Source organism: Homo sapiens, chromosome 9 (genome assembly GCF_000001405.40).
Source record: "Homo sapiens chromosome 9, GRCh38.p14 Primary Assembly".
NCBI classification, from domain to species: Eukaryota; Metazoa; Chordata; class Mammalia; order Primates; family Hominidae; genus Homo; species Homo sapiens.
The window spans coordinates 23,547,608-23,571,047 of record NC_000009.12 but is presented as its reverse complement, the minus strand read 5'-3'; the positions used below and the strand labels follow the sequence as shown (position 1 = coordinate 23,571,047).

Genomic DNA, 23,440 nt, shown 5'->3' with positions numbered 1-23,440 from the left:
TTTGAGCTGAATGTTGAAGGATGGGTAGGCAGGTTTGTGAGGGCTGAGAAAACTCCATGCAGAGAGGGAAAAGCGTGCACCACAGTGTGAAGGTACACACACATAGAACGTGTTTCAGGATGGACGAGGGTTGCTGGGCTGTGAAGAAATGGGACTGGATAGATAATGGACAACTCTGGAAATGTAGGTAGGAGCTTGATCTTGAAGGGCCTTTGAAGTCATGCTGTTGCAGTATGAAGAGCAATGGGAAAGGGGGAGATATGGGATAGAAGAAAGTGAGTGATGTGGCTGCTTTGGTCAGCAGAGATTTGAGAGCCTGAACTGTAGAGGGATGTCCAGTGGGCAAGGAGAGCACCAATTTAGGAAATGTTAGACTTAGAACAGATGGAGCTACATTTGAGATTAAATATAGGGGTAAGAGAATGGACCAATTGGAGATGACTTTTGGGTCTTTAGCTTCAGTGACAGGTGCCAGTAGGAATCCCAAAAGAGAAAACGATTTTAGGCCAAAGTGCTTCTCTACAGGCCTGTGTAGCTACATCATTCCCCTGACTACCAGGTCAAGTGAGGCTTTTTTTCCCCCTTGTCTCACAGCTGTAAATATTTCATGCCAGTGGCCATGTTTCTGTTTTATTTTGGGAATGGCACTTTAACTGGTTTTTCAGTTTAAACGACTCAGGAACTGAAGGGCCATTTTTGTCCTCAGGGATATGTTTGGTGCTGAAGATGGCAGACAGTTGGGTGTGGGTGAGGACAAATAGCGCCTGAGGTCTTGCAACTTAGAAGTAACATCTTGTCGTTTGAGGATAACACTGCCAAAGGTGTGTGGGTGTATCTTTGAAGCAACAAAACAGAAAAAGCATGACCAGCAATCCGATCTAGGCTAGGTGTCTATAAAAAAATCATTATTCTCTTTATTGCTGTAACTCTTGTGGAGCTCCCTTATTGGCCTCAGAGATGGCCCTGTGTTCAAAGGAAACCACCCCGTTGCTCTCAGAGGGTGGTTGGCCGGCCTTTCGTTGATGTTTTCTTTTTTTTTTCCTGGCACTGCCCCGTTATGCCGATTCACTTAAAATTTTGCTTTTGTGTTTCCTCTCCCCATCATCCTTGGCAGTAGCTAGTAATCACCCACTCCTGGGCCTGTAGAGTGCAATAAGCCCCTGGCCTATGTGTTCCAGCAGGCATCGCTTCAGAACTAGGGAGGCTGCATACAGGCCAGACTTCACTACCCCCTTACTGTTCTGCTAGCACTGAAGCCACTTCAATGGAGGACCGATTTATAAGAGGATTCCTTTCTCATCATAGTCAGTCCCTGTCCAACTTTTTGATTCCAAAGAAATTTGCAATGGTCTGGAATTTTCTTGACAGCACACGTTTCCATTTTCTAAAAAATCTACTAAAAGCCAGGTTTTTTATACCCATCATTTCATTTGCTACTACTCTACAACCGCCACTGGCTACATTTGTTGAGCGCTTACATGCCAGTCCCTGTGCTAAGCACTTTACGTAGATAATAGGAGTTCATCTTCACAACAACCCATGCAATAGGGCCATGACTACCTCTCTTCTTCAGAGGAAGAAACAGGCTTCCAGAGGTAAAGTCGTTTGATCAGGTTCACTGAACACTAAGTGGACAGGCCATGAATCCAACCTAGACATTCTTAACTGCACAGTTTGCACTCCTAACCATCACTTTGTACAACCCTGCAAGTAACTAAATATTACTTTTAAAGAAGATGAGATTGAGAATTAGACAGGGTTAAATCCAGAACCCAGGCCTCTCTGGTTTTAGAGCCATGTTCTCGTTTGTTATAATTTGTGGCCAAAGCATTTCTTCATATAAATTGTTTTATCCCAGGTAACTGACCTTGAATCCTGTGATCTTCAGAATAACTTGATGAAATTGGTATTGGTTTATGGTGTAATGATATTTCTGGTCTTATGTCTGATCATGCCATGCTTTCTCAACCTTGATGGTAGAAAGTACATACAAGGAGACTATCTGCGTCATAAATGATTAACTATGAAATCCCAGAAAGTCAGTTTGGTCTTGCTGACTTTCACTGAATACCAAGTCCTCTGCCATTAAGGCTGATACATGGGAAAATTTTTCCCTCTTTCTTTGGAGTTTACAATCTTCAGAGAAATGCAGGACAGCTATTTATTTTTGTATTTATGCAAATTATATAGACATAAAGAGTAGTTAAAATATAAAAACAACATATGGTTTAGAAGCATTTCTGTAAGTGTTCCTGGCGTCTCCAGATACAGAAATAGCATGGCTGCTAATAACATGGCTTCCTCAGCAAACAATGATCACAGTGCTTAGCCTCTCTCAGAATATGAGAGGTGAGGGACTCTTCGAGAAGTGGGTGCAGTTTTTTTACTTACACACTAGTTTTCCATCCTCCTTCATAATAAATAACTGCCATTTTAAGGAAGTTGAAGCTGGGGGAAAAGGGGGGAGGGCTGAGGTGACAGAATCGAACAGAGCAAAACTCACTTATGGGATCTAGCCTGTCTTCTTGGGCTGAAACCAGCCAAAAACACTGATCTATATTCTACAGCAAACTTGACACACTTAGCAGAATTTGATTGAAGTTCAAGCCTGTAAATTAGAAATATTTAAGGACAGCATAGAACCAGCTCCTTAATCAATGAGCCTAATAATATCTCTTACTAATCAGAAGAAAAGAACCAAAAAAAAAATTTTTTTTAAAGGGAAGATAAAGAAAGATGGACCTGCCAGTTATCAGAGTCTGTCTACATGCCAGGGTTGTTGTGTCATATTATCTTCATAACAACCAAGGGGAGCAGATGCTATTCTTAGTTCTCCATGTTGTAGATGGGAAAACTGAGGTTTCAGAGTTTAAGGGATTTGCCCAAGATCATGCAGCTAAGGAAGTGGTAGGCTCAGAATCCTTACCCAACTCTTTCTAATGTAAGAAAAACCTGTACTTTCCTACCTTAGTGGAAAGCTTTCCTGAAAGACTCCTAATCACTGCCAAGTGGCGTTTGCAGTCTCTGGGCACATCCTGCCTTGATATTTGGCAGAAACCGTGGAAACCGAAGGTGAGCAGTGTGGCCAAAAAGCAGCTGGGGACTCTTCAGTTCTCTCTCCTTCCAAGCTGGTGGACGAGAAGCACAGCCCTCGCTTTATACACCAGGCTTCATTTGTTCTTTGCACCACAATGCAGCCCCAGTGCCTACAGTGCAGAAAGAAATTAATTTTCCCAATATTATGTAATTTTTGGCATGTACTGAATGCAGCCAGAGAAACTAAGCCAGGATTGTATCAAGGACTTATGCCTGTGTCTGTGCAGAGGGATGTGCAGTTGCCATAGCAGCAATCAATCTACTAAATAACTAGTAGCATAAACTGATTCAAAGGCAAAGACTGATTTGGGTCAGAGAATTGCACTCTATAAAGCACAACTTCTTGGTGACTTCTGAGGGTTTTTTTTAGCTTTTATGGGTGGCCCTAGAGATGTATAGTGAGTGACTGCTCAGATGCAAGAGGGTGTGTGTACCTCAAGAGGAGATCAGCATGCTGTTCTCAGGCAGTCAGAATAGAGAATTCCATGGAACGTGCCATGAAACTGCTTCCACTGCATATCAATTTCCAGGGGCTTAGGAGGACCAGGAACAAAAATAATAGCATCCAATTATTGAGTTCTTACCATGTCCTAGGATGCTTCTCGGTGCTTTACAAGCATCTTGTCAACAATCCTGCAAAATGGGATTTATCACCACTTTTCTACAGATGTGGACACTAACATTAATATGCCCCGAGTTATAGAATTACCAGGTGTAGATTGAGGATTCACACTCAGGTGGGTTTCATACAGATGCTGTTCCCTCTCCACCCTGCCATACAGCTTCTCTACCTTGGACTTTCTCTGAAAGGGAAGGATATTTCTTCTTGGCCACCCACATGGTGAGGATTGCAGTGTTCTGATTCTGCTTTGCACAGTGTGGAATGCTACTAATTATTTTTAATCCAACATGAAAACTCTTAGGGCAGGAGGACTTGCAGCCCCTAGAGGTAGCACTGACTAATTCCAAAGGTTTGTGTTGTCATACTCAAAGAAAATTTATTTTTTCTTTTCCTTGAGATTTTAGAATAGTATCAAGTATTCTGTTGTCTCCTTTTGATCTTGCCAAGCTTTTGGGTAAACCTGGACTAGGGAGAAAGAATTTCTGAATTATAATAAAAGGTGGCATGTTGTAAGCAGAAACCAGTGACTGGATAGTCTATGTTGCCTTATGGGCTGTGCTACTTTGTAGATGTGTGATCTTGGGCAATTACTCCAATTCTTTTAGCCTCAGTTCTCAACTCTATGCAATGGGAATGATTATGATAACAGTGTGATGATGATGCCAACTAACTCTCAGTTGCCTAAAATACTTTTGGGAATGCGAGGTAAAAATTGCCTCACAGGCTTAAGAATTGAAGACTCCTGCAGACTCTCTTGCAACAGGGAATATATTCCCTCATCCATATATCCTAATTTTTTTTTAATTTGCTTTTTGGCTTAGCAACTCTCCATTAAATGTTTGTGAAATGAAGGAAGTCTAGGAAAGCAATTCATAGAGTGGTGTCACATGGTTATGGTTTAATGAATACTCGTTTTCTGTTTAAACAAAGGCTAAATTTTAGAGAATCTTTCATCTACAGTTTTTAGTTGCTAGTTTGATTCAGTATCTCAGAAGAACTTGAGCCCCAGGAACCTGGAGGAAGGAGATTTATTTGGACATTTGGAAGTACTTTTATGTTTTGCCTTCCTTCTTTCTGACTCTGTGGCTGAAAGTCAGGATGTAAGGTAAGAGATGTTAACTGAGTGTCCCCCTGGAAGCCTCAACTTCCCAGGGCCCACAGCCACAGAGCCTGGGTCGAGAACGCCGGAAATGGGCTTTAGTCAATGGGCAATTGACATGGCTGTGCCAGGTGGAATACACCTCGAGGAGCTGCATAGGTGAGTTCATTTGCGGGGTTCCTATTGTTTCTCAGTCTCTTCCCTGAAAGGACGACATTTCTGGTGAAAAGATAGTCTCTGAGCCGGCCCTTTTTACATGGACTGTCAGTGGGTTATAAACATCATACAGGCAGGGCTGGGCAGCATTTTGAACTTGTGACCTGGAGGTGAAAACTCTGCCCGTCCCTTCTAATCATTCTTCCCCATGCGGTAGTATTTTTGTATTGACCTATAGCCCCTCTACTGGTTTTCTGTACATGGCACTGCTGTAATCTGTGGCTTTAAAATAAGTGTTCAGTTTTCTTCCTGTGCATGGACATTGATTTTTTTAAAAATCCTAGAATGCAAACGGAACCTGTGCCTGCTATCTGAATATCTCTAATTAGACTACTTGTGCAAATCTACCAATTGACTTTAATAGATTGAACCCAAGTCTGCAATTGTGTTGGACGGGAAATGAGATTGCCTTGCCTCTCAAGTTATCTTCAGTACTTTGAAAGCAGACAGATTTCCCAAATTCAAGATACAACAGTAGGCAAAAGTTCCTGAGACACTGGAGGCACTATGTAATCATCACACAGGTAAATTATCTCTGCCATGAGAAAATTGGAGCAGTAAATGAAACATTAGCCCACTTCAATAGGAGGTCATATATGTTTCAGTGCCATGTCAACCTGCTTCTCAGATTATATAGAATTGAGACAGCCATTCATGCCTTCATTTTTTTAGTCCTTTTTCTCTTTATATTCTGCTGAGCTTTGTTTTACTTGAGCTTCTTTGCCTTCTACCAATTAAGCCCAAAATTGGCAGTTAAGACAAAATACAAATGAAAGGGAGGGTGCGGTGAGAAAGTAGAAAGACAATGGAGAATAAAGTTGAAAATTGATCTTTTCTTCCTTCCTCTCTGGCAGCTGTGTTGAGCAAAGGAGATACTGAGCATTGCATGACAGGGAACCAATAATTTGCCAGGTTTGAATCCCTGAGCAGTCTTGAGTAAAACCGTAGGGGACAAAGGTTTGCTATTTGAGCCTATCCTCTCCCCATCTGACCTCGCTGCTTCAGTTTCTGAACCCCCGCTGGGCTCTTCCACATGCAACAACTTTGGGTAACATTTATCAAGGTTTGCTGTATGCCATCCACTGTTCTAAGTGTTTCATGTGGACTACCTCATGATTATCTTATAAAAACCCTAAAAAGAACCATCATCTCCATTTCCAGATGAGAAAGCTGAAGCAGTAGAGAAGTGTAGTACTTGCATGAAGGTCACAGTTATAAAGAAGTGGGAATAGGATTCAAAAGAGAGCATCCTTGCATTTTCTAATTATAAAAATATTCTGCCTTTATCATAGAAAACCTGAAAAATATGCAAAAGCATATGGAAGAAAATAAAGCCATCCACGCTACTGCTCTTATAAAACCACAATTACAGCAGTTTGTTGCAGTTCTTTCCTTTTTAAAAATATAAATAGCGGCCGGATGTGGTGGCTCACACCTGTAATCCCAGCACTTTGGGAGGCCAAGGCGGGCAGATCACGAGGTCAGGAGTTTGAGACCAGCCTGGCCAACATAGTGAAACCCTGTCTCTAATAAAAATACAAAAATTATCTGGGCATGGTGGTGCGCACCTGTAGCCCCAGCTACTCGGGAGGCTGAGGCAGGAGAATCGCTTGAACCCGTGAGGCAAAGGTTGCAGTGAGCCAAGATTGCCCCACTGCACTCCAGCCTAGGTGGCAGAGTGAGACTCTGTCTCAAAATATATATATGAATATATTTTAAAATGAATATATTGTTGAGTTCATACTTTCAATAGAGTTTTTATGGTCCTTTTAGTCAAAATTGGAAGTGAACATTTTTCTATGCCATTACAATTTCTTCCTTTGGATAGTCCATGATGTAATTAACCATGCCCCTATTGTACATGTAGGATATTTCTGGTACTTGCATTTTAACAGTGGAATAAAAACACACTTTAACGGGAAAATGAATATTTTTAATGTGTGAAGTCAGGAAGGGGTGGCCTTTGGAATCAAGAAGTCATTTGATCTAGATTTATTTTTATTTCTCAGGTTGTCATGTTCACTTTTTATTTGTATACATTCTAAGCCATCTTTAGAGAATGTATACGTTCCTAAGCTTGCTTTCCTTTGACATCTGTACTTACAGAAAAGTGTAATTTCACCTCAAGACTGACTGACTGACTGACAATCTGTAAAGCAAAACTTATTCAAGAGCTGCAGTGGACTTCTTTTGCTGGCATATTTCCTAGGTTTCCTGGAAAATCTTCACAGCATTCCACTGTCTCTAGTCACATCTGGACTGTACACCCCAGGAAGTGCCTCGTTTTCAACTCAATCACACACTTATTGTTTGTTACTGTGGTGGGGTGGGGGGAGCAAGGGGCAAGATACTCAACAGGCCAACGGGAGGAAAGAGCCATCACACGTCATTCTTGTCATCAAGGACATACCCATCTAGCCAAGGATGAGAATGAAGAGCAACAATGATGACTTTCATAAGTGCTGTGATACATGTGGTTATAAAGGGTTATGGGAGGCCGATCCAGTGGCTCATGCCTGTAATCCCAGCACTTTGGGAGGCCAAGGCAGGTGGATCACTTGAGGTCAGGAGTTCGAGACCAGCCTGCTGAACGTGGTGAAACCGCGTCTCTACGAAAAATACAAAATTAGCCAGGCATGGTGGTGAATGCCTGTAATCCCAGCTACTCGGGAGGCTGAGGCAGGAGAATCGCTTGAATCCGGGAGGCAGAGATTGCAGTGAGCTGAGATCACACCACTGCACTTCAACCTGAGTGACAAGAGCGAAACTCTGTCTAAAAAAAAAAAAAAAGAAAAAAAGGTTATGGGAACCCAGCTTAAGGAGCATGTTTCCTAGGAAGAATAGGTATCAGCAGATGTGGTTTAAGCTCAGCTTGGAAAGATGATTATGAATTATGAAAGTAAATGAGGTGGGGGAAGGGTACACCTTACAAAGGGAATGTTACACATAAAGGCATAAGGTGGGAGTTGTTAAGGAAACACATGCAATACAGGGTGGGTCAAGCAGAGGATAGATAGTAGTTGAAGATTAAATTTATGCCTAGTGTTCCATCATTGGAATGCTAAGCTTGTGGGAGTTATTTATATCCTCCCTACTGCTCAAGGTCATTGCCAAGGTCTGATTTTTCACACACAAAAATTTGCAACCTCCAGCATAAATGGGTTAAAGAGCTGGGCAGGGATGAGATTATGGAAAGTGTTTAGTGCCAACTTTAGAGGTTTTGGACTTTAGTCGCTGGTGCATACATGAGGCATTTAGACAAAGAGGAACCTGATTACCTCTTTCAGGGGCTCACAAATTTGGAAGCGGCATCTTAGGTACCAGTTGCATTACCCCCTTACTCATCTTTCCTTCTGTCCACTCCTCCTTTATAACTTGGTTCCTCTTATATGCTCTGGCCTTTGGAAATTTATTCAAAAACCTTGTTATATCTTAATATAAAGTTTTTCAACCATCGATATCCAGTAGAACCATTTAGAACATCTGCAGTTAACTCGTTCATCTGTAGGTTAACTCATGGCCTACAACATTGTGGTCTACTATGGTGGGCCCTGTGTCATTTCTGCCTTTGGTTGGTCATGCCTTTGGTTGACTTATGGTTGGTCAGCTACTGGACAAAAAAAACAACACTGGAAGCTCAGTCACTTAAGGCATTTGCTCCCTTCCATTGCGGTCTAATGTGGGTCAGGGCAGATGTGTGTGGAGGGGTGGGATGGCTGTGCTCTGCTTATTCATTCATGGTTCCAGGCTCCCCTAGGTCTTCCATTCACGTTTCATTGGATGGAACTCAGTCTCGAGGCCACACCTCATCTAGGGGAGGCTGGGAATATGGGCACAGAAGATGAACCCAGGGAGAAAAGGAAATGGGATTTGGTGAACACACAACTATAGTATATATGCATATGACTGAAATTATAGTTTCTCTTTTATGGGAGGCATCAGCAAAACCACAAGTCAGGCTTTCTGATTTGGGGACATCCCATTCCCACAAATATTTTATCGCTTACGAAACTTATCTAATCCAGTTTGGATGTACAGTCTGACTTATTTGCCCAGATTTTCTATTTCTGCCTCTTATCCAGAATTTATTTTCCATTTTTGTCCCCATTTGGTAAAGCTCTTATAAAGATGTTTATAATTTCTACTTTCACTCTGATGTTGAAGTGATGATTGTGAATCAACCTTCAAGTTGTAAATGCAAAATTGAATATTCTATCAAAATAGTTCTCTCTGTTAATTTGGAGACATCTTAAATAGAAGGTAAATCAGAAGCTTGTGAAAGGCTGAAAACAGTAAGACAGTGTGTTCAGACTACATTTATAATAGAGGAAACTGCTAAAAATTATTTTCAATTTGGTGTGATTTATCTGTATAAAAGTGTGACTCTATTGTGCCTTTTGCCCTAATCTTTATATAGAATAACATTTGCTGTTTTTACCTTGTCCTCCACCAGACCAATCAGTCTGTCATATAAGTCATATATTTTGTTTTGTTCTGTCACCTCCACACCTGCCTTATTTAATTCCATGCCATCAGGAATGTGCTAGGGAGAATATAATTAGCACTGCCAACAGACTAGCAATGAAATTGCATCTCTGTATGGAAGAAGAAAGAGATGCTGCTGGGTAAGGAAATAGATTTTAGTTTAAAATTACACAGGAACAATTGGAAACCCAAAGGATAGGAATCGTTGAAATACAAAATATGCTTTGGTGATATCATTTGACAATTAATAGGTCTTTTCGGGTTTTTCCCTTCATCCCTTCTTCCCCCAGCCTCCCTCTTCCCTGCCCAGCAGTCTATGAGAGTCAGAGAGAGAAAGGCATTATGCTGTCTCTTTACTACCAGGATTATGTTCCTGATAGAAAGCAGGTTGCTCACTCCTATTCGACCTTCAGATAACTTCAATGACACTGCCTTGAGAAGGGCTTCCCTGAGCAATGAAGCTAGGCTTGAAAGAGTTCCCTCAGTTTGCTTCCTTAGCATTCAGACTCCCTGTCTAATACTAATGATACTTTATCTATCAGTAAATTATTGTAATCCTGGTATCTAGCATAATTCCCAGCACATGGTTGACACTCAGCCAATATCTGAATGAATGAAAGAATGCATACTATTTGTAAATAGGAGAAGCTTTAGAAACAGGCACACGTGGGTTTCTACTTTGGCTCTGCTGGTTCCTAGCTCCATGTTTGTGGGCAATTTATTCATTCCTTTCATGATCCAATCACTATAGCTGCAAAATAAAGATGGTGGTCCTAATTCTAGGGTTGGTCTGAGGATTAAGTGAGACAATGTATATGCAGCCCTGGAAGAATTCTTATCACACAAATGTAAATTAAATGTTAGTTCTGTGATCTGTGGGAAAACATGGAGGGTTCAGAGCAGGGGAGTGTTGGAGCAAAAGTCGTGATTTATGAGAGATGAATCTGATGAAAAGGTGCAGAAGAGATGAGGAAGGTAGTGAAGAAACTGCTGTGTTATCCTTAGTATAAGGTAATGAGGGCAGGGAGCAACTAATATCCTGGATGGAGTATGTAGACCTAGATACCATCTCTGGGTGGAGCAGTTCATTTTGTTAAACTGGCATTCATATGACATTTAAGTGGCATATGAATGTGCTAACCCCTCACTGAGCCCCCTTACTAAACTGTTGGCTATCTTGTCAACAGGTACTGATTCAGCTTAGTCAGGCCCATAACCAAATGAGGAGCAGTTACTCATTTAGACCCCTTCATAAATGGGGTTTATTTTAAAGACATCCTGCAATTTACTACATTTGAAACAGGAAGGCTATGAGGATCCAAGGCAGTTGCTTCATCTCTCTTGACTGTCACTACTTCACAGTCAGAGTGTGTCTACTTCTTTCTGTGTATTTACTCTTTTATGTTTTGCTGATTAATTTCCAAACTGCTCTAATTCAAATCCCACAGGATAGTTATCTGTCTTAGTTACCATCAGTCCATTTAGAGTTTGCTTTATGCTAGACCAGCTCATGAGTCCTCAGCCTGGCTGGGAATGAACTTGGGGGCTCTTCTTGTCACTTACGAAGAAGGCCGCTAGGGTGAACTAGAAAGAGACATTGGGAATGATAAGACACCATGACCGCTATGCTCAGGACAGAGCAGTTGTGAGGGCAACATAAGTTTGTTACTGCTATTAGAAAAACTTGTCCCATATGTTGGCTTAAGTAAACACGGGCCTACTCTGATGGCAGCGGCTCAGTGACATAAGCAGGATAAAGAATATGGTTTCCAGAGCATCTGAAAGAAGAGGTAAATATGACGTCATCAGAGAGTGTGCCCCACAAAAATGCATTTAATAATTCAAGAAATAGTTATTGGTGTCTTATGTGTTCACAGTTCCAAGCACTGTACTAGGTACTGAAAATACAGTGATGAATAAGAGAGGGTCTCTGCCCTTGTGTAGCTTACACTCTCATGAAGAGAGGCAATTAAAAGGTAAGCAAATAAATATGTGATTTCATATCAGGTAGAGATAGGCCTTATTATGGAGACAAATATAATAGCATGAGGGGCTGGTAGGTATAGTAGATTACCAATCCCATTTACTCTTTCACATGGACACAAAGATAGAGTGTATTTGTCAACTTCCCTTGCAGTTCAGTGTGGTCATTTGACTGAGTTCTGGCCAATAAAATGTGAAAAGAAGTGACATGCCACTTGCAGGCATGGACCATAACAATTTTTAATGTATGGTCCTTCATGCTTTTTTCTATTTTGGTTGACTTGGAGGGAGACCACTCCTGGGACAACTGTGGGCACTGTGTTAAAAGAAGTGGAGCCACAGGATCCTTGAATCACTGGATGGAGGAATACTTATCAGCTCAAAGTGCCCATATAGAATGGTCATGTGAGTGAGAAATAAACTGTGTTAAACCAGTGGTTCTCAAAATTGGGTCCCTAGACTAGCAGCATCAGCATCACCTGGGGTTTTAGTCTGTTTGTGATGCTATGACAAAATACCTAAGACTGGGTAATTTATAAATAATAGAAATGTATTTCTCATAGTTCTGGGGACTGGGAAGTCCAAGATCAGAGCAAAGCAGATTTGGTATCTAGTGAAGGCTGTTTTCTGCTTCTAAGATGGCACTTTGAACACTGTGTCCCCACATGGTAAAAGGGACAAAAGGGGAAAAGGAGTCTAGCTAGTTCCGGCTGGTCCTTCTATAAGGTCACTAATCTCATTAATGAGAGTGGAGCCCTCATGGCCTATTCACCTCCTAAAGTAAAGACTCCACCTACTAATACTTGATATGGTTTGGCTGTGTCTCCACCCAAATCTCATCTTGAATCGTAACTCCCACAATTCCCATGTGTTGTGGGAAGAACCCGGTGGAAGGTGGTTGAATTATGGGAGTGGGTCTTTCCTGCATTGTCCTCGTGATAGTGAATAAGTCTCATGAGATCTGATGGTTTTAAAAACAGGAGTTTCCCTGCACAGTCTCTCTTGGCTTGTCTGCCACCATGTGAGACGTGCTTTTCACCTTCCACCATGATTGTGAGGTCTCTCCAGCCACATGGAACTGTAAGTTCAATAAACCTCTTTCTTTTGTAAATTGCCCAGCCTCCAGTATGTCTTTATCAGCAGCATGAAAATGGACTAATACAACACTGTTGCAGTGGGGATTGTTTTAACTGGAGGTGACAAAAACATTCAAGCCATAGCACCTGGGAACTTGCCACAAATGGATATTCATGGGCCCCACCCTAGATATACTGAATCTTGGAGGGGTGGGGTCTGGCAAACTGTGTTTTAAAAAGTCCTCAAAATGATCCGGATGCACCCGAAAGTTTAGGACTGTTTTAAGTCACTGAGATTCTAGAGTTTGTTCATGACATCAGCAAGCATTAGCTTAACCAATACACAGAGTAATTTGGATGGCAGGAGTGAAGTTAGCAGTTTGAAATGGAGTGGTCATGTCCTTCTGAGGAAGGATACATAATTAAGAGGGAGGGAGGAAGCCATATGAAGATGTAGAAGAAGATCATTTTAAGCACTGGAAAGCTATTGCAATGAACTTGAGAGAACAAGTCTGGTATTTTTGCAGAAAAAACAAGAGTGCAATGTGGTCAGAGTAGAATGTTTATGGGAAAAGGGTAGGAGATGAGATCAGAGAGGACAGCAGGAGCCACATCACATGGTGTAAGGGGCTGTGAGTAAGGCTTTAGTTGCTCTTCTAAGTACAATGTGATTTATTTATTCAGCAATTTTTTTCTTTTTAAAATTGTGGTAAAATGCACATAACATAAAAGTTACTATTTTAGCTATTTTTAAGTGTATAATTTAGTGGCATTAAGTACATTGACAATGTTGTGCAACCATCACCATTACCCATTTTGAGAACTTTTTCATCATCTCAAACAGAAACTCTGTACCTACTAAACAGCTCCCATTACCCCTTCCCCTTCACGCCCCTGTCTCCTGGTAACCCCTAATCTAATTTCTGTCTCTATAAATTTGCCTATTTTAGGCATCTCACATACATGTACAATATTTATCCTTGTGTGTCAAGCTTATTTAACTTAGTATAACATTTCCAAGGTCCATCCATGTTGCACATGTGTCAGAATTTCCTTCTTTTTAAAGGCTGAATAATATCCCATTGTATGTATTATATGCCACATTTTGCTTATCCGTTCATCTGTGATGCACACTTGGGTTGTTTCCCACTTCTGGCAATTGTGAATAATGCCACTGTGAACATTGGTGTACAAGGATGAGTGTGTGTGTGAGTCCCTACTCTCGATTCTTTTGGATCAACAAACTTTTTGAGTGCCCTGGTGCTGTGTACTGAGAATGAGCAGAAGCATAGGATCTGTTCTGGTCAAGGCACTCATTCCAGGGAGGGAGAAGATAAGTGAAAATCAGCTGCAATGTATGGGAGTGCTAGAGGTATGCTCATATAGAGCACCTAGGAGGATCACTAGAGGGTGTCAGGGAAGGCTTCCTGGAGGCAGCAGTGCTGAGCTCCATCTGAAAGAACAAGTAGGAGTTAGGTGAAGAGAGGGAGTGGCATTTTAGGGAGATCGATGGTAGAGCATCAAAGCAAAGAGGCGTGAGTGTGTAACTCCTCTGGAGAAGCTCAAGCTGGCAGAGGAGGGATGAAGAATGGCTAAGGAGGGAGTAGGAGAGAGTGGTGAGTGATAGGGCCACAGAAATAAGCAAGGGCCTGGCTGCAGAGGATTCGGCAAGAGATGTTGAGGAGCCTGACACTAATCCCTTAGGGCAGTGGTTCTTAATCTTGACAGCACTTGAGAATTGCTCAGCAGCTTTCAAAAAACACCAGTGCCAAGCCTGAGTTCCACCCCCATAGATTCTGGTTTAATTGGTCTGGGTTGGGGCCAGAACATTGGCATTTTTTAAATTTCCCCAGGTAATTCCAGTGTGCAGCCAGGGTTGAGAAGTACTGCCTCAGGCAATGGGGAAGCTTTTGGAGGGTTTTAAGCAAAGGAGTAACAAGATCAGATTCTTTCTTAACCACTTGCACATATTTCAATGTAAAGTGAATTTTATAGCTGAGGAGGCCTCCTTGGGGAAAGAGGCCCTTCTCTGTTCTCTGAGAATCATTTTCTTTTCCACTATAAAATGAAGATACTACCTACATACTTCAAGGGCTGCCATAGGATTACACAACATTGCATTTTGTCCCGACCCAGGGTAGATGGAGAGCACATTTTTTTCCTGGGCAAAGCTGACAGTACAGAGAAAACGTAGGCAGGGTCCTTTATTCTCAAGATTCTGAGACCCACGCTAGGGGTAGCCCTGGAAGGCAGCATTGCTCCCCCCTCCACCATCCCAGAAAGACAAAAGCAGCCTTCCATTTGTGTGGCTAAGTCTCCCTCAGGCAGAGAGCCACTGGGGGTCTGAGCTTCTCTGGTCTTGGCACTCTGCTGGGATCGCGTCAGAGTCTCATTTCCTTAACAGGAGACTTCCTGATGAGCAGGATGAATTTACAGTGTATTTGACCGGAATGAAAAGTAAAAGCTGATGCAGCTGTGTGTGATAACGATGAGGGGGATGAGGGAGAGTGAGGCGGCACCTGCCTGCTGACTTCATCACAGGCTCCATGCTGTGGCAGCAGTTGTGTAGTGTTTGCTTGTTTCCATCTCTATCCGGAGCAAAAATCCTATAGCAGAGCCACTCACGCAACTCCCTTCTCTCCCCTTCCCAGGAGGGAGGTGTGTCACTGGGCTCAAAACACAAATATTAAGAACCCTGATTCTGATTTGCATCTTTTCTTTCTTAGGGCACAGCAGCCCTTAATTTTGGGGGCAGTGGGGATCTTGTTTCCTCTGCCTTTACTATTCCTTGAGGGCTTGAACCATGCCCTTAGTCATTTTGTACTTTGAGTACACTAGGTGGACAAAAAAAAAAAAAAAATGAGCGTTCAATTGACAAAGGATGTTGGAATTGATTGTGCTAGAAAGTAGGGGAATGAAGATGACTTGGGTGGCCTTGGGACTTGGAGAGAAGTGAGGTTATGGGGAGGTCTCCACATCTCTCTCCTAGTGCAAGTTAATTTTACTGCTGTATGTTTGTGATTTTCATAGGTTCAGGTTGCCCCCAGAGTAGTGAAATTCCAAGCCTCTCCTACTCCACTGACAGCAGTGCCAAGTTTAACATGAGAGTACCTGGGATGAGACATCCAGAAACAACAGCATGTTTGGAAGGGTACACCAAGATCTTGCATATCCTTGATGCTTTTTGCATCAAGATATAGACAAATCAATGCAATGTTTTAGATTTTATGTGCTCTTTGAGGTCACAAATAAAATCTAAAACAGCATTGATTTATCTACACCTCTGCTCTCTCTCATTTAAGTGGATAAATAAGTAGCTGATGGTAATTTTGGGGGATCCTATATCCAATGGCCTAAATGTTAAAGGGTGTAATGTTTCTCTTCTCTCTAGATGGTAAACCTCACCTTGTTAGCTAGATTTATTTTTAGGCTTTATGCTCTTTTTACAAAATAAGTTGGTTCTTTCATTATATAAAAATAGGATCATGGGGTTAATAGTGCATTCAGGGTAAGCATGTCAGCCTGTGGCTGTCTATGGGGCTGTCCTAGAGCCATGGCCCAATAGGGGGCCCTATGATTCCTAACCTCAGTAACAGGGCCTGGCCATGCATGCATGCTCAGATGATGGGCCATCTGTGCCCTGCCTTGAGCCAACACATAAAGTACCTCACTTGCGAATTAAAGGTAAGGAAGCCTTAGGCTTCCTAGGTCATTAGGAATGTGGAAACCAGCCTCTTTTAAGAGGAACTAAAAGAAAGGACCCTACTGAAAATATGCCAAACATATTTTATAAATTACTTCTTTGAACTCTTACTAACCTTGTGAGACAGGATTTTTTATCCCTGTTTTACAGATGGAGAAATTGAAGCTCCAAATGGCTAAGCAATCTACCCAAGATCACACAGCCAGATTGGTGGCATCTAAAATTCGAACCCAGTCCTGATGTGCTGAACTTCGCATCTGGATTTCTCAAAATGTTAAGGATTGATATGCTGGGCTGGTAATTCCTTATTGTGGAGGGCTTCTTTGTGTATTATAGGATGTCTAGCCGTATCCCTGGCTTCTATTCTACATCGTAGTAGCACCCCTACTCCTATATGACAACCAAAAATATCTCCAGATAGTCAGTTGTCTCCTGATGGGCAACATCACCCCACTCCCAGTTGATCACTACTGCCCTGTGTTAACATATGTTTTCTCATATAATTCTCACAACAACCCTATACACTAGGTGCCATTATCATCCCCATTTTGAAGATGAAGAAATGAAACCCAGAGAAATTGGGAGTTGATGAGGGTCACAAAGCTTGTAAATGGCTCTCATTTTTTCCTGGGTATAAAGTGGTAGAACTAGTGAAGGTGATGAGAGGCTGAATATTTCAGTGGTTGATACCAGGCAAGTGCAACTCCGAAGTCTTGATTTTATTGCTGCTTTATTAGGCATTTGAAAAATTTAGTGCTTATGACACTAATAACCAGGAGTAGGCTGTTAAAATTCAAATTCTTGATAGAATCAAATTCAGTAGATCTGCAGTGGGCACAGAAATGTGTATTATAAAACATAGCTACACTGACTGGCGGTGCTGTTGTCCAGGGAACCTAAGCGTGAAACATGGAACATTGTGCCCCTAAAAGAAAATTTCGGGAGAAAGAATGGAGATGATAAGCGGAAAGGAGAGGGTTTGGGATGAGACCTGACGTGCAACTACTTGCACAATTCAGTTTAACTGCCACACAAAGAGGGCACCGAATATGCATTATACCAAGTGACCTGCAATGCTTGGATGAGGGGTCTACTGTAGACCTTGGGATGATGCATCCAGTGCCTTCAAATCACTACTCACTCTTGGCTAGTGTTGAATCCCAAGGCTGAGTGGGCTGCCTCCTTTGGAAGCTTAGTGCATCCTGAGGTTCTAAAAATGGTTACAGTGAAACAAAAACAGCTGTGTCAATTTCCAATTTCCGCTCTATTCAGATTCACACTCTGCCTCCTCTCCTCTCTTAGAGGCAGTGGGACACAGGCACACACATGCACTCATTCCACCTCCTTTCCTCCCTCAGGCGTGGAAGGACATGAGCGTGCACACAAGCAGGCACACACAGACACACATGTGCGCACTCTGCCGCCTCTCTCTCACTTACTTGAGTTCATTTCCCCATGGAGAGGGAATGTTTCTAGTTTTCCAAAAAGGAATGGCAAACAAGAGAAGCCACAAGAGCCTAGACTACAATAAAATGCTACAATATGCTTTCAAGCTGGAGCGACTAAAAAGCTGGGAAGAGAAAGCGGCAGTATAATGTCTATTTTTATCTTCAACTATAATCTACCCACTTGTAGTTTCATAGCTGTCAGGAGGCAGAAAAGGACATGGAATCAGCCTACTGTTCTCTGCTCGCATCCTACACCTGTGTGGCATGAATGTGGGTGTGTGTGCACATACACAGATACTTTAACACACTGTCAGAGGATTTGATTGAACTCACACCTGAAGCCAGATTTTTTTTAGAAGTTGTCCCTTTGTTCATTATTTCTTGGCCAGGCACAGAAAATTAAAAGCAGGTTATTGAAACCCATTTTCTGGGTCCTGAAGGATAACTGTTAGCCTTGGATGATCAGAAGGAGCAGCTATGCACCTATTAGGCTTTGTCAGCCTTGGCCACACTGGGTTATGGGGATTCCTAACCTCCTGAACACTACTCACTAGTTTGGTGATTATCTATCTCCTTGAGAGAAGGCAAGTATGGCCCAATGGAAATAGCACAGCCTTGGAGTCGGGACACCTGAGCATCTTGCCTCATTCTGCCATGTACAAACTCTGTGGCCTCCAGCAAGTTCCTTTACCACTCTGAACCACAGTGTCCTCATCTGCAGAGGGACGACAACCCCTATTTGATGATTGTTGGGAGAATTCAAGATAATGTATGCAAACAGTAAGTGTTATATGGTAGAGGCTAAAGAAATGCTGACTACTGTTATTTTTGTTATTGCTGTTTTATCTGCATTATTATTTTATTAATAGTAGTCGTAGAAGTAGTAGAGGTAGTTTGGGGTTTGATTTCTACATCTGTTCTATATTCTTGGTTCTGTTTCAGTTGTTACTCTCCTATATTGGTGGTGTGAGGTATCACATAAGGTTCCTACATCATCATCATAAGCAAGGCAGAGGAAGGACCTGCTTTGGGTGTAAGGCTTAGCTTTTGAAAAATGTCTGGGATGCCCTAGTCTCCTTTAACATGCTGGCAGATAAAGGACTTAAAATCTTAATGGAGAAGTTCAGTCCCTTGAAAGCTCCTTCTATCAGAAGCTTCCTTTTTAGCTGTTTCAGTGACATCTTAGTACATATGGGGGAACTGAGAGTAAGTCTGGTGATAATTCTTCAGAAAGTCAAGCACCTGGAGTCATACAGGTCTCCATTCAAGGGCTGTCCCTGCCTTTTATTAACCACATGAACTTGTGTATTTTGTTGAACCTTTGAAGGACTCAAATTTTCTCATCCGTAAAACAATACGTTTACAGTGATATGGTGAGGTTCAAAGTGTGAAAACACTATAAACCCTAGAGGATCAGATAACTGTTAACATGCTACTGTTATCGTAAAATATTGCAGGAGGATGATCCGGCCTTTACAAGTTTTGAAGTCTAAAGAAACACAGTAATTCCTGTGGGCTCCAAACCAGTTTTTTGCAAATGAAGTATTATTTTTGAGCATAGGTCTCCCTCTGTGCATTACTCCCAGCCTGCGTGCGGACCCTGAGCTACACACCACACAGTCATGCCTTTGTCTGGAAGCTCATTAATGCAGCAACAACTTCAACAGAAGAGCAGCTGTGTGGTGGTGTCTGGCTCACTGAGAGGGACACACAGGTCCTGCTGCTGCTATTAAGCATTTGCAAGGTGACAGATTGCCTCAATGACGTGTCCATGTGCTTCCTCATTATAATGCCTCAGGTCTAGAAAAAAAGCCTGGACCCACCAAAAAGCTTTCACAGATTGGAAAGTGCACAGTTTGGGGGTGTTTAGCACTTCAGCACATGCTCTGTGACTGTGCATTCAAGGCAACATGTCACAAGAAATTAGTCTGCAGCAGGCCACATATGTCAGCCAGCCGGTGGAAGCATTTGCCCAACACCCAGGCAAGAGACTCAGAAGAAAAGGCTGCTCACCTTAAATCGCCCTCACGGTTAGCACATTGGTGAGATCATCCAGAATCCTCTGCTCAGGTACAATATTGCTGTGGAGAAGCAGGAGCTTGGATAAAGGGAGAAGTAACCAGGAGGTGCTAAGGGGGGGAAAAAAGGCATCTCATGCCATTTACTTTGCATCAGGCAGAGAGAGATTTGCGTTGCACACATTATCACATAATATAACAGTCCTGCCAAGTGAGCACTATTAATATCTGAATTTCCAGATGGGAAGATGGAAGCTAGGAGAGGCCATGTGTCTTGAAAGCCATCTAACTAGGGAGTCCCCCAAAGATCTCTTAAAATCTAAAGTCTACCGACACTCCTTCCCTTCCATTGAGCATGTGCCTGAAATGTGATGAGGTTGATTTTCTTTGTGACAGACTTACCTACACTTGTACATTCAACTATCATCTTCTTCAAAGAAGAAACTGTGGCAGGTGCTATTCCACAACCCATGTTTATGTTCAAGCTTTGTTGGATTCCTGTTTGGGAATTTCCTTCCGAGGCGGGCGGTGTCACATTCATTTGAAGTCAGTCAATAATGGTGAGTTATTGCCTCTTGCAGGTAGGTTTACAAGGGGTAAAGAGAATGATTAGGACTGCATTGTTAAAGTCTGTGCAGGAGATGACTGAAGGTCAGGGGCAGTAGTGGTGGAGGCAAGGGCAGATGTGAGAGAATTGAAAAGATACAGTGACTAACTTGCTACGCGAGAAACATTTGCAGCTTGGGAGACTGTATCTATAGTAGTGCAGTTTTCTAACTAAATATAGGAGGAAGAGGAATGATTTTCTGGAAAAATTGGTGGTGGTAGGGGGGCAGATAGGGAAGGAAATGGGCAGAATGTGCTCCCTGTAAGACTTAGGCATTGGTTTGGAAGTTAGGAGAGAGTTCCAAACTGTTGCTAAAGAGTTGGGAGTTTCTGATAAATGAATGACCAAGGAAACAATGGGAGGAGATACGATGGAGAAGGTGGAACAATGAAGAGGGAAGAACACTGAAGCTTAATGATGGTTAAAGGGTATATGAGGAAAGGGAGTGATGTTAGTAATCTTCAAGTAGCAACGCCTCTGTTTCAAGCATATCTTTGAAGATAGCCAGTTTTAAGTCGACTGAGCATTTGTGAGAGCAGGGAGACAAACATAGTCATGTGGCTTAGGCCAGTCACCTTGTCCAGGCTTGGTCTTATGAAAATGGTCAAAGCAGGTAGAGTGATGCTAAGTGAAAAAATCAGATGTTTGCCAGCCACTGTGTACACACAGACACTCCCACGGGGCACCCTTCAGCCACAGAGTAAGATTATTTGGGCCTGACTGGCGGAACTCTGCTTTGAAGGGTACATTTGGGAGAGAAAAATTCAAGCAAATATTCAACCCTTCTTTTCCTACTAATGGGATCTCCATTCTCTGGGATTCGGTGTAATCTGCAAGTTCCTGAAGAGCCACGAAGTGTGGAAGGAAGTAACAGTGTGGTATAGGGCAAGAAGAAAACACTAGCTTATTACAGTCAGTCCCCTCTTAAGACTTCATGCCTAAAACAGCAATTCAGTTTTTTCTCCTGCTTAATTGACGCTCTTTTCCTTAGACGGGCATGCCATGGGCCTAAACTATATGGATTATATGTGTTAAACAGAAGGCAGTGTCAGGGAAAACAAAGGAGAAGACATGGGAGAAGACAAAGGCAGGCTAGACTCTGAAACAGTTGTTCATACTGTGGCAAACACTTCAGTTCTCTGGGCTTTAGCTTCCTCAATGTCAAATGAAGGCTTTGATGTGGACTCTTAAGTTTGTCCCTACTCAGATATCAGAGAATATCTGTGATGTACAAGTGAACATGCAAACCCATTTATACATGTATTTCACAAATAACAGTTCCCAGTAATCGGAGAGTACTTAAATAAGGCCAAAATAGGCCCATGGTTTCTTTGATAGCTGGGTCACAGAGGCTCTGACCTCCATCTGTTTTCTTCCCTAAATTTCACTGCAGTCCTCAGGATTGCAATGCTAGTACAGAGGTGTCCTCCTCTTTGCTCATTTGCTGCCTCCTCCAGGAGAATTAAAAGCCTGATGCAGCCCTCAAAGGGGCATCTGATTAAGTAATGGTGTCTGATAAGATTCATGCTGGAACCTTGAAAGTCTCAAAGAGATTGAGATTGGCCAGACCTCAAGCTCCTGCTTTCGCAGTGCCTTGCTTGATTCTCTGAAGACCTCAGTGTAAGCCTCCATTCTTATAACATTACATTAAAAACCTAAGCTCCTTACTATGGTCTGTAAGTCCTAAATGACTGGGCCTCTGCCCATCAGCCCAGGTTCCTAGTGCTGTCCTTCCTGGTTGCTAAGCTCCAGCCACAGTACCTTTCTTATGGTTGCTCAAATACACTTAACCCCACCTCTCCCTCAGGCTTCTCTCTGCATCTGACCCTATTGCACCTCCAACATCTCCCTTTCTTTCTTTTTTTTTTTTTTTTAATTATACTTGAAGTTTTAGGGTACATGTGCACAACGTGCAGGTTTGTTGCATATGTATACATGTGCCATGCTGGTATGCTGCACCCATTGACTCGTCAGTTAACATTAGGTATATCTCCTAATGCTATCCCTCCCTCCTCCCCCTACCCCACAACAGGCCCTGGTGTGTGATGTTCCCCTTCCTGTGTCCATCTGTTCTCATTGTTCAATTCCCACCTATGAGTGAGAACATGCGGTGTTTGGTTTTTTGTCCTTGCGATAGTTTGCTGAGAATGATGGTTTCCAGCTTCATTCATGTCCCTACAAAGGACATGAGCTCATCATTTTTTATAGCTGTGTAGTATTCCATGGTGTATATGTGCCACATTTTCTTAATCCAGTCTATCATTGTTGGACATTTGGGTTGGTTCCAAGTCTTTGCTATTGTGAATAGTGCAGCAATAAACATACGTGTGCATGTGTCTTTATAGCAGCATGATTTATAATCCTTTGGGTATATACCCAGTAATGGGATGGCTGGGTCAAATGGTATTTCTAGTCCTGGATCCCTGAGGAATCAGCACACTGACTTCCACAATGGTTGAACTAGTTTACCGTCCCACCAACAGTGTAAAACTGTTCCTATTTCTCCACATCCTCTCCAGCACCTGTTGTTTCCTGACTTTTTAATGATCGCTATTCTAATTGGTATGAGATGGTATCTCATTGTGGTTTTGATTTGCATTTCTCTGATGGCCAGTGATGGTGAGCGTTTTTTCATGTGTCTTTTGGCTGCATAAATGTCTTCTTTACTGGTACCAAAACAGAGATATAGACCAATGGAACAGAACAGAGCCCTCAGAAATAATGCCACATATCTACAACTATCTGATCTTTGACAAACCTGACAAAAAGAAGAAATGGGGAAAGGATTCCCTACTTAATAAATGGTGCTGGGAAAACTGGCTAGCCGTATGTAGAAAGCTGAAACTGGATCCCTTCCTTACACCTTATACAAAAATTAATTCAAGGTGGATTAAAGACTTACAAGTTAGACCTAAAACCATAAAAACCCTAGAAGAAAACCTAGGCAATACCATTCAAGACACAGGCATGGGCAAGGACTTCATGTCTAAAACACCAAAAGCAATGGCAACAAAAGCCAAAATTGACAAACGGGATCTAATTAAACTAAAGAGCTTCTGCACAGCAAAAGAAACTACCATCAGAGTG

General features: G+C 42.3%; 1 long non-coding RNA gene across 1 annotated transcript in view; it reads left to right on the top strand.

The window, feature by feature from the left end:
• LOC101929563 (uncharacterized) overlaps positions 1–23,440 on the top strand; it is a 171,709-nt gene that overhangs the window by 101,352 nt on the left and 46,917 nt on the right. The window contains exons 12-14 of the long non-coding RNA NR_121602.1: positions 16,431–16,553; positions 18,118–18,508; positions 20,143–20,306. This is a non-coding gene — a long non-coding RNA (uncharacterized LOC101929563). The remainder of the gene's footprint in view (positions 1–16,430; positions 16,554–18,117; positions 18,509–20,142; positions 20,307–23,440) is intronic.